The sequence below is a fragment of the Homo sapiens genome, chromosome 2, assembly GCF_000001405.40.
Source record: "Homo sapiens chromosome 2, GRCh38.p14 Primary Assembly".
Lineage (NCBI taxonomy): Eukaryota > Metazoa > Chordata > Mammalia > Primates > Hominidae > Homo > Homo sapiens.
Window position 1 is genome coordinate 161,278,115 of NC_000002.12, and position 17,481 is coordinate 161,295,595.

A 17,481-nucleotide genomic window follows, 5' to 3' on the forward strand; every position below is an offset into this window, starting at 1 on the left:
GAGGCCGCAGTGAATCGTGATCCCGCGACTGCACTCCAGCCTGGGTGACAGTGTAAGGCTTTGTCTCAAAATAATAATAATAAAATATAAGAGGCCAGGAATGGTGGCTCATGCCTGTAATCCCAACAATTTAGGAGACTGAGGCTACAGGATCGCTTGAGGCCAGGAGTTCGAGACCAGCCTAGGAAACATAGTGAGACCCTATCTCTACAAAATAAAAACAAAAATAAAAAATTTGCAAGGGGTGGTGGTGCACACCTGTAGTCCTAGCTACAGAATTGCAGCTAGGATGAGTCAGGGGAGTTGCTTGAGCTCAGGAGTTCAAAGCTGCAGTGAGCTATGATCCCGCCCATGCCACTGCACTCCAGCCTGGGCAACACAGATCTCATCTCTAAAAAACAAACAAAAATAAAAGAGAAGAAAGGGCTTTTACTATGCTTGTGGTTGTGCACATTCAATTTTAATTCACAATCCATTTTAGAACGTTTTATCACCCCCGACCAGAGAAAAACCCTGTGAACATTAGTCACTCCTCATTCTGTCTCAAACCCTCTCCCTGACCCTCAGCCCTAGGTAACAACTGCATAGAGCGATCAACCCCATATGCATAGATTTCCATATTGTGGACATTTCCTATAAACGGAATTGCATAATACGTGAGCTTTGATGACTGACATAACACTTTTAGCACAATATTTTCAAGATTCATCCACATTGCAGCCTTACCCACAGGGGGAAACCATTTTTTTGGGGTTTTAGTAACACTGGGTGTTTTCTCCTTCCTTCCTTCCTTCCTTCCTTCCTTCCTTCCTTCCTTCCTTCCTTCCTTCCTTCCTATTTCTCTCTTACTCCTTCTGCCCTCTCTCTTTCATGTGCCTTAGGTGCATCCTACGTTCTGCGTCTTTTTGGGGAATCCTCGACAGGTGCTGGAAAATTGTGTTATTGTAATTATTTACCGCTATCTCTCTTTCATGGTTCTCCATCAGTTGTAAGCATCTATTGGTTTATCCCAGGTCACTAAGTATATTTTAATTAGGCACACCTGTTTTTCTTTATACAGCTGTTTCTGGAGTATAGGGTCGCATGCTCATAAACCCAGTGTAACTCAGAAACGCATCTAATATTCCAATAAACCCATCATAACGTTGAAAAATCATAAACCAAACCATCATAAGTCACGGTTTGTCCGTGGATATGGGCTTCATCAATTCCATTGTATTCAATAATGCTGTACACCATTAACAATGGCAGACTGATAGGGCGTGGATATTGATAGCATTATAAAAATCAGTTATTAGAGGGATACTTTAACCTGACTGAAGAACTGATCTAATGGTATTAGTACAGTGCATGATTATGTGAAATGTTTTGAGACAGAGTAGTACATTTGTGAATGAAATTTTATGGCTTTTTTCACTTAGTAGGAACCTTTGTGTGTGGAAAACTGAGAAAATTGCTTTCTGCTGTAGAGTCTGGCATTCATTGTAGATTAAAGCTTATTTTTCTGTGAGTAAATCTTATTCAATAAAATACTACTCTTTATAATAAAAAACAAAAACACTGGTGATGTGAAGTCATTATCCTCAGCAAACTAATCCAGGAAAACAAAACCAAACGCCACATTCTCACTTATAATGGGAGCTGAAAAATGGGATCACATGGACACAGGAAGGGGAACAACACATACTGGGGCCTTTTGGGAGGCAGAGCGTTAAGAAAAACAGCTACTGCATGCTGGGCTTAATACCTAGGTGTTGGGTTGACAGGTGCAGCAAACCACCATGGCACACGTTTACCTTAGTAACAAATCTGCACATCCTGCACATATACCCCAGAACTTAGAAACAAAACGAAACAAAAGAAAACGAGAAAGCAATAGCAAAACGCTAACGGCAAAACAAAGTTTCAAACTCAGAAAGTGACAGACCAATTTTTGGTTCAAATCATGGTTCTCAACCCAGGTGCCATAAGGTCAGGATAAAGAATTTGATTACGTATTGTAAATAAGACATGCAGCAAATGACCAGAAAAATTATTCCCAACATATGTGTGTCTTCGAATTCAACGGTGACGCTATCTACCGGGACACAGCATTAGATTCCAAAGGGCCGAGTCCCGCAAGACTGGCCTCCCACACTAATAACAATGGGAAGCCCTACGTTGTTTTACCTGTGCTTCTCAGCAACTGGCTATAAATCAGGTTTCCACCACTCCCAGTTTTAGTTGCATTCATTTGCTGGAAGAGCTCACAGCACGCAGGGAAACACTGACATTTCCCATTGTATTTTTCTGAAAAAAATTCAGAAAAAAATTTTGGGCCCGGCACGTGGGGAGGGGCGCACTGCCTTCCAGGAAGTGTTATCCAGAAGCTCTCTAAACCCAGTCCTTTTGGGTTTTTATGGAGACCTCATTCTATAGGCATGATGGGTTAAACCATAGGCTATTGGTGATCAGCTCAACCTGAGGCTCTCAACTCTCCCTGGAAATTGGGGTTGAGGCTTTGCCATTCTCAGTCTGAGTAAAAGAATTTACACAAACGGAATTTTAAAACAGATTAGCATAACAGGAAACTTAATTAGATGATTGAATTATCTGGAGCCACACCTTGATATTCCTAACCTGAGCACCCTCATCCAACGAATGCTCCACCCAACTGGCTCCCAAGTCTCTACGGGGTTCCAGAGCAAAAGAATGTTTATACAACGCATATCTCCACCTCTTCTTCAAAGTCTTTTCGCTTACACGGGTAATTCTTAAACTGCCATGCATCAGGGTCAGGGGGAGGGCTTGTTACAACACAGATCTGTGGATCTCCGGGGTTTGAGGGTTGCAAGGATGCTGCTGGTGTCAAAACCACAACGTGGGAACCACAGAACCACTAGTTGGTTTTCAGTGTTTCAGTGCATTTAATTCATAATATATTTGGCCAAGAAAACTTGTAAGGTCTTAGATTGTCCCAAAGGTGGCGCATGAAATCCAATCAGGAGAACAGTTTCCTACGAGGTGTAGCCTGGGAAAGTTGGGGGTGACTGGTGGAAAGGAGGAGTGAAGCTCCGCCCTTTCTGCTGCGAGGCTGCGCCCGAGGCTATTTAAACCCACCCTGGCAGGCCTGTACTCAGATCTTCGCAGAGCGGAGCAGCGGCCGGAGCGTTTGGCGGACTCTGCGTGGACTTGGAGCTCACAGCGTCTTGCGACTTGGAAGCGGATTCAGAGGACAGGACAGAACACTTGGGCAAGTGAATCTCTGTCTGTCTGTCTGTCTGTCTCATTGGTTGGCTTATTTCCATTTTCTTAAGGAGCACATACCTCACACCACACACACAAACACACACACACACACACACACACACACACACACACACACACTCCTTCATTCTGCGGGTTAGAAAATTAGTGGGGGTCCCTGGGAGCTGCAGGTTTCCTAATCATGTCTGCACCTAAGAACAGTAGGGTCTTGTCTGGCTCTTCTTATGAACGGTCCCCCAGCCCGGACTCCCCAAGATCCATGCTAGCCTCACCCAGCTTCTCCCTCTCCCCTCTCAGATACTCAGACTTAAGAGGAAGCTCCTCACCAGGGATCCGGAGCTACCATTCACCATCCCCTAGGGCTTCACCACACTCACCTCTGTCATCACCAGTATCCCACAAGCTCCCATTTCCCTGTCCTCTCCGTGATGGGCAATCAATGAAGCCATTGGGCTCTCCCGTGTCCTCCTCTGAGGATTCTTCAGAGTCACCACGTTCATCAATAATATACCACATGTTCCTACTGCCATCACCCAGCAGCTCACCCCCAGCTCTCGGGGAGTCTCCTGTGTCTCCCAGCTACTCTCCAAACAACCCCAGATTTCAGCTGGAGTCAGCCCTCCACACCCAGGAATCACCTACAAACTCACGAGCCTCACGGTGCTCCTCCCCTATGTCTTTCAACTCTTCACCCCCAGGCCTCAGGGACTCTCCTGTGTCTCCCAGCTTCTCTCCAGCCTTCCCCAGATTTCTGCCACAGTCAGCCCCAGGCACACAGGGGAACCCTGGACACTCACAGGCCTCACGAGACTATCTCCCTATGACCTGTATCTATACAGGGATGGCTCCCACGCATCCCTCAGTGACCCCAAACCCATCTCCACTTACACTCAGACACTCCCAGGGCCTGACAGCTACTCCCCGTTATTGTCCTTCAGTTCGAAGCCCTGGCCAATCTACCAGCCAACATGATGCAGCTACCTGGCCATTTCTCCACATTTCTGGTGAGGGCCCCACACCCAGCCGCAGAAAAGCCCCTCCTGCATTCCATCCTCACACACAGGCCTGTCCATCCACTTGCTACTGTCACACTCTTGCCAGCAGAAGAGGCCCCTGTAATGGCCGATATCACCGCCCAGTCTATCCTCACCCCACAGCTATGCAGCGGGACCCTCCTGCTGGCCCACGTGGCTGCCAGAGCCCATGCTGGCACTACACTCCAGCATGTCGGCGTCCCTGCGGGCCACACTACCGGTGACATGGCTAGCATGACCCTCCTTCCTGGCAGTGACACTGCTGATGTGAACCCCATCTCTACTAAAAATACAAAAATTAGCTGGGTGTGGTGGCGGGCGTCTGTACTGTAGTCCCAGCTACGCGGGAGGCTGACACAAGAGAATTGCTTGAACCCGGGAGGTGGAAGATGCAGTGAGCTGAGATCATGCCACTGCACTCTAACCTGGGTGACAGTGAGACTCTGTCAAAAAAAAAAAAAAAGAAAGAAAGAAACGAAAAGAGCAGCAAAGTTTGCAAATAATTTTTCAAAAACTTATAGCAGAAATAAATTTACCTCTATAATGACATAACTCACTCATTTGAGTTCACCGATTATTCTTAAAAGAAAAACAAAAACAACAAGGGGAGGGGGGCACGCTAGAATAAACTTCTGTTCCCGCTTCCAACAATTGTGTGCATCCTTCAAAACAGGGCTGCGTTGTTACAGCACAGATATAAACTCTGTTCAAGTAACCTATGAAATAAATTCCTTCACTATCCATCCTGCAGAATCTTTTTGTGGTTAACATTCATTCATTCATTTACTCTACTTCTTGAGAACCGAGCAAGATACTAGGGTTTTAAGATTAGGTTTCTGTACTGAAAGAGCTCACAATAAACTAGAGTGGGAAGTTTGCTGGATGTCCAAAATTACAACTTACGGCGACGGTAGGAACACGATTTTAAAGATAAAATGCATTGATCATCTTATTTTTAAATTTTATTCAGTTCAGATGTAAACATACCCATTTCCTGTTTTTATTTTTAAAGTTTTAATTTTAACTAATTCTAAAGTAATTTTTAACTAATCTTAGGGAAGACACACATGGTCCCCTAAATTGATTTAATATCCCAGCATGGTCCCCTAAAATCAGTGCATTTTTCCTAATCCTTATAACTTTCAAAGTGATTGTCAAGTGTGGTTGGGCCATGAAATTCCTCCTTAGATGTCATTTGTTGAGTTAATTTTCTAGAGCATGATATGTCAAGACTTGATGAGGCTTGCACTGGATGTTTTTTCTGTTGGCCCCTCTACATTTGTTCTTCACCTTCCCCACTCTGCTCTCTACCCAGAAAGGCTGGCCTCTAAAGACTTCCTTGCCTTCTGGCTTCTGGTTGGCTTTGGCTAATTGCAGGAAGTAAGGGAGCAGGAAAAGAAGGAAATTAGCACAGGGGTGTCCAATTTTTTGGCTTCTCTGGGCCACACTGGAAGAAGAATTGTCTTGGGCCACATATAAAATACACTAAAACTAATGATAGCTAATGAGCTAAAAAAAAAAAAAAATCACAAAAGTTTTAAGAAAGTTTGTGAGTTTGTGTTGGGCTACATTCAAAGCTGCCATGGGCTGTGTGCAGCCCTCCTGGCTGCAGATTGGACAAGCTTGAATTAGTGTATTCATTTTTCTGGCTCTCTCCCTGCCAGGTCTCAGCTTGAGAATGTCTGGATTCCACTAAGGCCATAGTTTCTGTCAGATGGCCCAGAGCCTGTGGCTATGGATTTCCTCTCAGGTCCTGGTAACAACTACTTCCTTTGCCCTTTTAAGTCTACGGGTAGTAATGGCTTCCTACCATTCAAGGAACCTAATTCCTTCCTAACACTTTCCCTTGTTGAGTTCCTTTAAACTTTCCCACATCTCTTAATGAAGTCTTCATTAAACTGTCTTTTAAATACATATCTATTTCCTACAGGGATTCTGAGGGATAGAAGGCTCCCAGTCAGAGTCCCAGCAAGAATATTTTAGAAAAGGGGGATACTAAGCAATATTTTAGAAAAGGGGGACACTAAGCAAGCCTTGGAGAGGCTAGGCTTATGTTGCATAACAAACAACTCAAAAATCTTAGCAGTTTAACAAACAAAAGATTATTTATCAACTGGGTAAGGTGGCTTGCGACTTTAGTTCCAGCTTCTCAGGAGACTGAGGCAGGAAGATTGCTAAGGCCAGAAGTTCAAGGCTGCAGTGAAGTATGATCACACCACTGCACTACAGCCTGAATGAAAGAGCAAAACTCCATCTTTAAAAAAATACATATGACATACAAAATATGTGTTAATTGACTGTTTATGTTATAGGTAAGGCTTCTGGTCAAGAACAGGCTATTAATAGCTAAATTTGGGGAGAGTCAAAAGCTATACACAGATTTTAGACTGCACAGGGCTCAGTACTCCTAATCCTTTCCACTCCCACTGAGCAAGGGCCAACCGTGTATCTCTAATACTAGTTACAGATGAAAGGAGTGGAGAGAAGTGGGGGGAAGCAAAGAAAAGAAGATGGCTGAGAATTTTTTTTTTTTTTTTTTTGAAATTGATGAAATACTTGAATTCCTCAAACTGAAGAAGGGCACCGAAATCTGAAAAATTAAATTAAAATGAATATATTGCTAGATATACCTATATCAAAATGAAACTCCAAATACTAAATTCAAAGGCAAAAATCTCAAAAGTAAAAACAAACAAAAAAACTACCATGAAATCAACAACCAAAAAAAATGGAGTACCTACAAAAAAAATAGCAAAAATAAATGACTGAAAACAACAGAACAATATTTTTAATATTCTGAGGGAAAATAACCAATAACCTAGAATGTAGTAGCTAGTTAAATTATCATACAAGAGTGAGAGAAAATATATTTTCAAAGTCAACAGAAGTTTACTATTCACTGATTTTCACTGAAAGCACTAATAAATGACGTATTTCAATAAGAAGGCAATAAAGTCCATATGCAAGAAACAATGGTGAGCAAAGAAATCAGTAATCATGTGTGTAAGTCTAACATTGACTGAAAAAATCAATATAATGGCCGGGAGTGGTAGCTCACGCCTGCAATCCCAGCACTCTGGGAGGCCAAGGCGGGCGGATCACGAGGTCAGGAGATTGAGACCATCCTGGCTAACACGGTGAAATGCCATCTCTACTAAAAATACAAAAATTAGCTGGGCGTGGTGGCGTGTGCCTGTAGTCCCAGCTACCCAGGAGGCTGAGGCAGGAGAATCACTTGAACCCAAGAGGTGGAGGTTGCAGTGAGCCGAGATCATGCCACTGCACTCCAGGCTGGAGACAGAGCAAGACCCATCTCAAAAAACAAACAAAAAATAAATATAATGATTAACCATGAGAGTTTCAAAAGCAAGATGGAACTGGAGAACAATAATATGGAAGATAGAAGAGAAGTTTATTGGAGTTTTTAGCATCTTAAGTTTCCTGCTTAGGCAGAAATGAGAGAGATACTGATTAAATTTAGACATTGATACATTAAATATGCATATTAAAAATTCAAGTGCAAGCCAGGTTGAGGTGGGAGGATTGCTTGAGCCCAGGCGTTTGAGACTATCCTGGGCAACATAGCATGACCCCAGTCTTTACCAAAAAATACCAAAAACAAACAAACAAACAAAATTAGCCAGGCATGGTGGAGCACACCTGCAGTCTCAGCTACTCCGGAAGCTGAAGTGGAATGATCACTTGAGCCCAGGAGACCAAGGCTGCAGTGAGCTATGATTGCACCACTGCACTCCAGCCTGGGTGAGAGAGTGGGACCTTGTATCTAGGATAAAATAAAGTGGAGGAGGTTCCAAGATGGCTGAATAGGAACAGCTCCAGTCTACAGCTCCCAGCTTGAGTGACGCAGAAGATGGGTGATTTCTGCATTTCTAGCTGAGGCACCGGGTTCACCTCACTGGGGCTTGTTGGACAGTGGGTGCAGCCCACGGAGAAGGGCAGGGCATCGCCTCACCAGGGAAGTGCAAAGGGTTGGGGAATTCCCTTTCCTAGCCAAGGGAAGCCGTGACAGATGTTACCTGGAAAATCGGGACACTCCCACCCTAATACCCTGCTTTTCCAACGGTCCTAACAGCACACCAGGAGATTATATCCCACGCATGGCTTGGAGGGTCCTATGCCCAAGGAGCCTCACTCACTGCTAGCACAGCAGTCTGAGATCCAACTGCTAGGAGGCAGCGAGGCTGGGGGAGGGGCATCTGCCATTGCTGAGGCTTGAGTAGGTAAACAAAGTGGCCCAGAAGCTCGAACTGGGTGGAGCCCACCGCAGCTCAAGGAGGCCTGCCTGCCTCTGTAAACTCCACCTCTGGGGACAGGGCATAGCTGAACAAAAGGTAGCAGAAACTTCTGCAGACTTAAATGTCCCTGTCTGACAGCTTTGAAGAGAGTAGTGGTTCTCCCAGAACAGAGTCTGAGATCTGAGAATAGACAGACTGCCTCCTCAAGTGCGTCCCTGACCCCTGAGTAGCCTAACTGGGAGACACCTCCAAGTAGGGGCCGACTGACACCTCATACAGCTGGGTGCCCCTCTGAGACTAAGCTTCCAGAGGAAGGATAAGGCAGCAACATTTGCTGTTCTGCAATATTTGCTGTTCTGCAGCCTCTGCTGGTGATACCCAGGCAAACAGGGTCTGGAGTGGACCTCCAGCAAACTCCAACAGGCTTGCAGCTGAGGGTCCTGACTGTTAGAAGGAAAACTAACAAACAGAAAGAACATCCACACCAAAACCCCATCTGTACATTACCATCATCAAAGACCAAAGGTAGATAAAACCACAAAGATGGGGAGAAACCAGAGCAGAAAAGCTGAAAATTCTAAAATCAGAGCGCCTCTTCTCCTCCAAAGGAATGCAGTTCCTCGCCAGCAACGGAACAAAGCTGGATGGAGAATGACTTTGACAAGTTGAGAGAAGAAGGCTTCAGATGACTGGTAATAACAAACTTCTCTGAGCTAAAGGAGAATGTTCGAACCCATCGCAAAGCAGCTAAAAACCTTGAAAAAAGTTAGATGAATGGCTAGCTAGAATAACCAATGCAGAGAAGTCCTTAAATGACCTGATGGAGCTGAAAACCATGGCACGAGAACTACGTGATGAATGCACAAGCTTCAGTAGCCGATTCGATCAAGTGGAAGAATGGGTATCAGTGATTGAAGATCAAAGGAATGAAATGAAGCGAGAAGAGAAGTTTAGAGAAAAAAGAGTAAAAATAAACTAACAAAGCCTCCAAGAAATATGGAACTATGTGAAAAGACCAAATCTACGTCTGATTGGAGTACCTGAAAGTGACGGGGAAAATGGAACCAAGTTGGAAAACACTCTTCAGGATATTATCCAGGAGAACTTCCCCAACCTAGCAAGGCAGGCCAACATTCAAATTCATGGAATACAGAGAATGCCATAAAGATACTCCTCGAGGAGAGCAACTCCAAGACACATAACTGTCAGATTCACCAAAGTTGAAACAAAGGAAAAAATATTAAGGGCAGTCAGAGAGAATGGTCGGGTTACCCACAAAGGGAAGCTCATCAGACTAACAGCTGATCTCTCAGCAGAAACTCTACAAGCCAGAAGAGAGTGGGGGTCAATATTCAACATTCTTAAAGAAAAGAACTCTCAACCCAGAATTTCATATCCAGCCAAACTAAGCTTCATAAGTGAAGGAGAAATAAAATCCTCTACAGACAAGCAAATGCTGAGAGATTTTGTCACCACCAGGCCTGCCTTACAAGAGCTCCTGAAGGAAGCACTAAATATGGAAAGGAACAACTGGTACCAGCCACTGCAAAAACATGCCAAATTGTAAAGACCACCGATGCTAGGAAGAAATTGCATCAACTAACGAGCAAAATAACCAGCTAACATCATAATGACAGGATCAAATTCACGTATAACAATATTAACCTTAAATGTAAATGGACCAAATGCTCCAATTAAAAGACACAGACTGGCAAATCGGATAAAGACTCAAGACCCATCAGTGTGCTGCATTCAGGAAACCCATCTCACGGGCAGAGACACACATAGGCTCAAAATAAAGGGATGGAGGAAGATCTACCAAGCAAATGGAAAACAAAACAAAACAAAACAACAAAAAAAGCAGGGGTTGCAAATCCTAGTCTCTGATAAAAGAGACTTTAAACCAACAAAGATCAAAAGAGACAAAGAAGGCCATTACATAATGGTAAAGGGACCAATTCAACAAGAAGAGCAAACTATCCTAAATATACATGCACCCAATACAGGAGAACCCAGATTCATAAAGAAAGTCCTTAGAGACCTACAAAGAGACTTAGACTCCCACACAATAATAATGGGAGACTTTAACATGCCACTGTCAACATTAGACAGATCAACGAGACATAAAGTTAACAAGGATATCCAGGAATTGAACTCAGCTCTGCACCAAGTGGACCTAATAGACATCTACAGAACTCTCCACCCCAAATCAACAGCATATACATTCTTCTCAGCACCACATTGCACTTATTCCAAAATTGACCACAGAGTTGGAAGTAAAGCTCTCCTCAGCAAATGTAAAAGAACAGAAATTATAACGAACTGTCTCTCAGACCACAGTGCAATCAAACTAGAACTCAGGATTAAGAAACTCACTCAAAACCGCTCAACTACATGGAAACTGAACAACCTGCTTCTGAATAACTACTGGGTACATAAAGAAATGAAGGCAGAAATAAAGATGTTCTTTGAAATCAATGAGGACAAGGACAAAACATACCAGAATCTCTGGGACACATTTAAAGCAGTGTGTAGAGGGAAATTTATAGCACTAAATGCCCACAAGAGAAGGCAGGAAAGATCTAAAATTGACACCCTAACATTACAGTTAAAAGAACTAGAGAAGCAAGAGCAAACACATTCAAAAGCTAGCAGAAGGCAAGAAATTACTAAGATCAGAGCAGAACTGAAGGAGACAGAGACACAAAAAACCCTTCAAAAACCCAATGAATCCAGGAGCTGGTTTTTTGAAAAGATCAACAAAATTGATAGACCGCTAGCAAGACTAATAAAGAAGAAAAGAGAGAAGAATCAAATAGACGCAATAAAAAATGATAAAGGGGATATCACCACTGATCCCACAGAAATACAAACTACCATCAGAGACTACTATAAACACCTCTACACAAATAAACTAGAAAATCTAGAAGAAATGGATAAATTCCTGGACACATACACCCTCCCAAGATTAAACCAGGAAGAAGTTGAACCCCTGAATAGACTAATAATAGGCTCTGAAATTGAGGCAATAATTAATAGCCTACCAACCAAAAAAGTCCAGGACCAGACGGATTCACAGCCGAATTTTACCAGAGGTACAAAAAGGAGCTAGTACCATTCCTTCTGAAACTATTCCAATCAACAGAAAAAGAGGGAATCCTCCCTAACTCATTTTATGAGGCCAGCATCATCCTGATACCAAAGCCTGGCAGAGACACAACAAAAAAAAGAGAATTTTAGACCAGTATCCCTGACGAACATCGATGCAAAAATCCTCAATAAAATACTGGCAAACTGAATCCAGCAGCACATCAAAAAGCTTATCCACCATGATCAAGTTGGCTTCATCCCTGGGATGCAAGGCTGGTCCAACATAGGCAAATCAATAAACGTAATCAATCCATCATATAAACAGAACCAAAGACAAAAACCACATGATTATCTCAATAGATGCAGAAAAGGCCTTTGACAAAATTCAACAGCCCTTCAGGCTAAAACCTCTCAATAAACTAAGTATTGATGGGACGTATCTCAAAATAATAAGAGCTATTTATGACAAATCCACAGCCAATATCATACTGAATGGGCAAAAACTGCAAGCATTCCCTCTGAAAACTGGCACAAGACAGGGATGCCCTCTCTCACCACTCCTATTCAACATAGCGTTGGAAGTTCTGGCCAGGGCAATCAGGCAGGAGAAGGAAATAAAGGGTATTCAATTAGGAAAAGAGGAAGTCAAATTGTCCCTGTTTGCAGATGACATGACTGTATATTTAGAAAACCCCATCGTCTCAGCCCAAAATCTCCTTAAGCTGATAAGCAACTTCAGCAAAGTCTCAGGATACAAAATCAATGTGCAAAAATCACAAGCATTGCTCTACACCAATAACAGACAAACAGAGAGCCAAATCATGAGTGAACTCCCATTCACAACTGCTTCAAAGAGAATAAAATACCTAGGAATCCAACTTACAAGGGATGTCAAGGACCTCTTCAAAGAGAACTACAAACCACTGCTCAATGATATAAAAGAGGACACAAACAAATGGAAGAACATTCATGCTCACGGATAGGAAGAATCAATATTGTGAAAATGGCCATACTGCCCAAGGTAGTTTATAGATTCAATGCCATCCCCATCAACCTACCAATGACTTTCTTCATGGAATTGGAAAAAACTACTTTAAAGTTCATATGGAACCAAAAAAGAGCCCACATTGCCAAGACAATCCTAAGCCAAAAGAACAAAGCTGGAGGCATCATGCTGCCTGACTTCAAACTATACTACAAGGCTACAGTAACCAAAACAGCATGGTACTGGTACCAAAACAGAGATATAGACCAATGGAACAGACCAGAGGCCTCAGAAATAACACCACACATCTACAACCATCTGATCTTCGACAAACCTGACAAAAACAAGAAATGGGGAAAGGATTCCCTATTTAATAAATGGCGTTGGGAAAACTAGCTAGCCATATGTAGAAAGCTGCAACAGGATCCCTTCCTTACACCTTACACAAAAATTAATTCAAGATGGATTAAAGACTTAAATGTTAGACCTAAAACCATAAAAACCCTAGAAGAAAACCTAGACTATTCAGGACATAGGCATGGGCAAGGACTTCATGACTAAAACATCAAAAGCAATGGCAACAAAAGCCAAAATAGACAAATGGGATCTAACTAAGCTAAAGAGCTTCTGCACAGCAAAAGAAACTACCATCAGAGTGAACAGGCAACCTACAGAATGGGAGAAAATTTTTGCAATCTACCCATCTGACAAAGGGCTAATATCCACAAATTATAAAGAAGTTAAAGAAATTTACAAGAAAAAAATCAACCCCATCAAAAAGTGGGCAAAGGATATGAACAGACACTTCTCAAAAGAAGACATTTATGCAGCCAACAGACACATGAAAAAATGCTCATCATCACTGGCCATCAGAGAAATGCAAATCAAAACCACAATGAGATACCAACTTACACCAGTTAGAATGGCGATCATTAAAAAGTCAGGAAACAACAGGTGCTGAAGAGGATGTGGAGAAACAGGAACACTTTTACACTGTTGGTGGGACTGTAAACTAGTTCAACCATTGTGGAAGACAGTGTCGCAATTCCTTAAGCATCTAGAACTAGAAATACCATTTGACCCAGCCATCCCATTACTGGGTATATACCCAAAGGATTAGAAATCATGCTGCTATAAAGACACATGCACACGTATGTTTATTGCAGCACTATTCACAATAGCAAAGACTTGGAACTAACCCAAATGTCCATCAATGATAGACTGGATTAAGAAAATGTGGCACATATACACCATGGAATACTATGCAGCCATAAAAAAGGATGAGTTCATGTTCTTTGTAGGGACATGGATGAAGGTGGAAGCCATCATTCTGAGCAAACTTTTGCAAGGACAGAAAACCAAACACAGCATTTTCTCACTCATAGGTGGGAACTGAACAATGAGAACACTTGGACACAGGGGCCTGTTGTGGGGTGAGGGAGGGGGGAGGGATAGCATCAGGAGATATACCTAATGTAAATGATGAGTTAAAGGGTAAGGCACACCAACATGGCACATGTATACATATGTAAGAAACCTGCACGTTGTGCACATGTATCTAGAACTTAAAGTATAATAAAAAAAGCATAAAATAAAATAAAATATTTAAGGGTAGCAACTTTAAAAAGATAAAATGTATCACTTACAAACTACATAAACTGATCTATAGATTATATGCAACAATAATGACATAATGCTTATTAAGTATCTTACAAATATTAAGTCATTTAATCCTCACAACAACCCTACTATTATAACTGTCCCCATTCTGGCTCCAGAATTCAAGCTCTTAGTACCCTGGTAATAATTTATACATAGTAGTCCTCACTTATTGGCAATTTTGTGACTAACCATGGTCTGAAAATATTAAGTGAAAATTTTCAGAAATAATTCTTAAGTTGGAAATCGTGTACCATTCTGAGTGGTGTGATGAAATCTCACACTGTCCCACTCAGTCTTACCCAGACAGGAATCACCCGTGTCCAGCGTCACCATGCTGTAAGCTGTTCATCACCTGTTCATTAGTCACTCAGCAGCCATACTGGCTATAGATGGACTGTTGTGGTATCACAGTGCTTATGTTCAAATAACTTTTATTTTATTTAATAATGGCCCCAAGATGCAAGAGTAGTGATGCTGGCAATTTGGCTATGCCAAGCAGAAGCCATCAAGTGCTCCTTTTAAGTGAAAAGATGAAAGTTCTCAACTTAACAAGGAAAGAAAGAAAATCATATGCTGAGGTTGCTGAGATCTACAATAAGAATGTATCTTCTATCTGTGATATTGTGAAGAAGAAGAATGAAATTTGTGCATCATAGATGCACAAATATATATATATATGGCTTGGTATTATCTGAGGTTTCAGATATCCACTGGAACATATCCCCCTTGGATAAGGTGGGGGGACCACTGTATGTCTTATGTGATTGCAAATGTAATAGATGACAATTTTTTTACACAGTTGGCAATAAAGAATGGTAAATGTGACATGCAAAGTTAAACAAAAAGCTAACCATTTGTGTACATAACGGAAAGTCTTCACATTAAAAAAAAAAAAAACAGGACTACAAGATGTTTGTACTTCTTGGTCATTGGTGAATGGCAGAATGGGGAGAGAGCAGAATGGGGAGAGGTAATGCATTCCTAAAACTTAAGTACCAGAAACTAGAAACAGATTCCATAATATGGACAATTTTTTTTTTAATTTTTTATTTTTTTCTGAGACGGAGTCTCACTCTGCCACCCAGGCTGGAGTGCAGTGGTGCAATCTAGGTTCATTCCAACCTCTGCCTCCCAGGTTCAAGCGATTCTTCTGCCTCAGCCTCCCGAGTAGGTGGGATTACAGGTGCGCACCACCATGCCCAGCTAATTTTTGTATTTTTAGTAGAGACAGGGTTTCACCATATTGGCCGGGCTGGTCTCAAATGCCTGACCTCACGATCAGCCTGACTTGGCCTCCCAAAGTGCTGGGATTACAGGTGTGAGCCACCACGGCCGGCTGATATGGACAATTTATTACATGAGAAAGGTGACATTGCAAATCAACAGGATAAAGACAAATTGCTTAATAAATGGAGGAACAGCTAGGTAGAAACCTCGAAAAATGTGAAGTTGGAGCCCTTATACTAAAATAAATTCTAGATCGCTGAAGGATTTAAATATGAAAGTCTTTGAAGAAGGAAGAGATGTTTTAAAAGTTTTACACTATAAAATGTTTTTCTGAATATACACAACCCAGAAGCAAAAGCAAAGCCATTAAATGTTTTTTGAAACTTTTATACAGCAAAAAATAGCACAAACAAATCTGGAGAGGGCTCCAGGTTTTCCCACCCACCACCTTAGCAGAGCAGCTCTGCATTTATCTGTTTTATATATTGGTGCCCTATGTAAGATTCCATTTGACAAAATGTTCCATTGCTAGAATAAGAGTGAGAATAAGAATAAGAAGTTAAACAGCGTTCTCTCTGTACACTGAGGACCAAAGTAGTAAATGACTTAAAGTCACAAAGGTAGCAGCATAAGGTTTCCAGACTTTTTGTGCTGCTTTTTTTTTTCTTTTTACTACCCTTTTGGGAAGATTAAATGAAACATTGGACTAGCCATTGAAATAAATCCTTTTTTACACTAACCAAATTAACAGCATATTGGGTTTTTGTTTTGTTTTGTTTTGAGACGGAGTCTCACTCTGTCTGCAGGCTGGAGTGCAGTGGCGTGATCTCGGCTCACTGCAACCTCTGCCTCTTGGATTCAAGTGATTCTCCTGCCTCAGCCTCCCGAGTAGCTGGGATTACAGGCACGCACCACCATGCCGGACTAATTTTTGTATTTTTAGTAGAGACGGGGTTTCACCATGTTGGCCAGGATGGTCTCCATCTCTTCACCTCATGATTCACCCACCTTGGCCTCCCAAAGTGCTGGGATTACAGGTGTGAACCACTGCACCCTGCTGGGGTTTTTAGTTTGTATAGTTCTTGGTAGTTTTGATTGGTTTTAAATCTTTCTCATGTGTCCCATTATTATTTAATTACTTATTACAGCACTACAGAGTCCATATGCATGCAGGTTAGAAAAAAACTGAATAGATTTAAAAATGTATATATAATATACATGATTTTTTAGAGTTATTTTTAAATTCCTCCAAGCATTTCAAAATTCATTAGAAACATTTTACCTACTAGTGAAATCTGGCATAATGCATTGATGTCATCCAAATTTCCAAAGCATTTTATTATAAAGTGTCACCTTTGAAGCAATTCCATAGCATAGATACCATGGTTAGTATTATAACTCAAGCAAGCCTTTTTGCATTCTAGTCTCATTAAAGTTGCTTTATGAAAAAATATATAAATGTATATATAAGATTTGATGTTGTATTATTATATTTAAATGTTTTTCAGTCGGAACAACTAATAGCTCAATTGCTCTTGTTAAGCATTCATGGCCCAATTATGTTTTTTTGTTTTTTGTGTTTTGTTTTGTTTTGTTTTGTTTTTGAGATGGACTCTCACTCTATCACCTAGGCTGGAGTCCAGTGGTGCAGTGGTGCCATCTCGGCTTACTGCAACCTCTTTCTCCCGGTTTCAAGCTATTCTCCTGCCTCAGCCTCCAGAGTAGCTGGGATTACAGGCATGTGCCACCATGACTGGCTAATTTTTGTATTTTTAGTAGAAATGGGGTTTCACCATGTTGGCCAGGCTGGTCTTGAACTCCTGATCTCAAGTGATTCACCCACCTTGGCCTCCCAAAGTGCTGGAATTACAGGTGTGAGCCACCACACCCAGCCCAATTATGTTTTGAAGCACAAAATAAAAAGTTATCTCTCATTAAAAAAAAATCTTCCCTTTACTTATTAATCAAGTTTTTTGTAGTC

General features: G+C 41.8%; 6 annotated features.

The window, feature by feature from the left end:
* Window positions 295-931: an enhancer, noted in NCBI's record as "OCT4-NANOG-H3K27ac hESC enhancer chr2:162134920-162135556 (GRCh37/hg19 assembly coordinates)". NCBI's record gives its function as "activates a minimal SCP1, AML or CMV promoter by ChIP-STARR-seq in primed H9 embryonic stem cells {active_cell/tissue: H9 hESC(primed)}" and the evidence as "EXISTENCE:reporter gene assay evidence [ECO:0000049][PMID:30033119]".
* Window positions 932-1,567: an enhancer, noted in NCBI's record as "OCT4-H3K27ac hESC enhancer chr2:162135557-162136192 (GRCh37/hg19 assembly coordinates)". NCBI's record gives its function as "activates a minimal SCP1, AML or CMV promoter by ChIP-STARR-seq in primed H9 embryonic stem cells {active_cell/tissue: H9 hESC(primed)}" and the evidence as "EXISTENCE:reporter gene assay evidence [ECO:0000049][PMID:30033119]".
* Window positions 2,024-2,318: a silencer, noted in NCBI's record as "tiled region #15701; K562 Repressive non-DNase unmatched - State 25:Art". NCBI's record gives its function as "represses a minimal TATA promoter and a strong SV40 promoter by Sharpr-MPRA in K562 cells {active_cell/tissue: K562}" and the evidence as "EXISTENCE:reporter gene assay evidence [ECO:0000049][PMID:27701403]".
* Window positions 3,857-4,357: an enhancer, noted in NCBI's record as "H3K4me1 hESC enhancer chr2:162138482-162138982 (GRCh37/hg19 assembly coordinates)". NCBI's record gives its function as "activates a minimal SCP1, AML or CMV promoter by ChIP-STARR-seq in naive H9 embryonic stem cells {active_cell/tissue: H9 hESC(naive)}" and the evidence as "EXISTENCE:reporter gene assay evidence [ECO:0000049][PMID:30033119]".
* Window positions 3,857-4,458: a biological region, named in NCBI's record as "Sharpr-MPRA regulatory region 9806".
* Window positions 4,164-4,458: a silencer, noted in NCBI's record as "tiled region #9806; K562 Repressive DNase unmatched - State 25:Art". NCBI's record gives its function as "represses a minimal TATA promoter and a strong SV40 promoter by Sharpr-MPRA in K562 cells {active_cell/tissue: K562}" and the evidence as "EXISTENCE:reporter gene assay evidence [ECO:0000049][PMID:27701403]".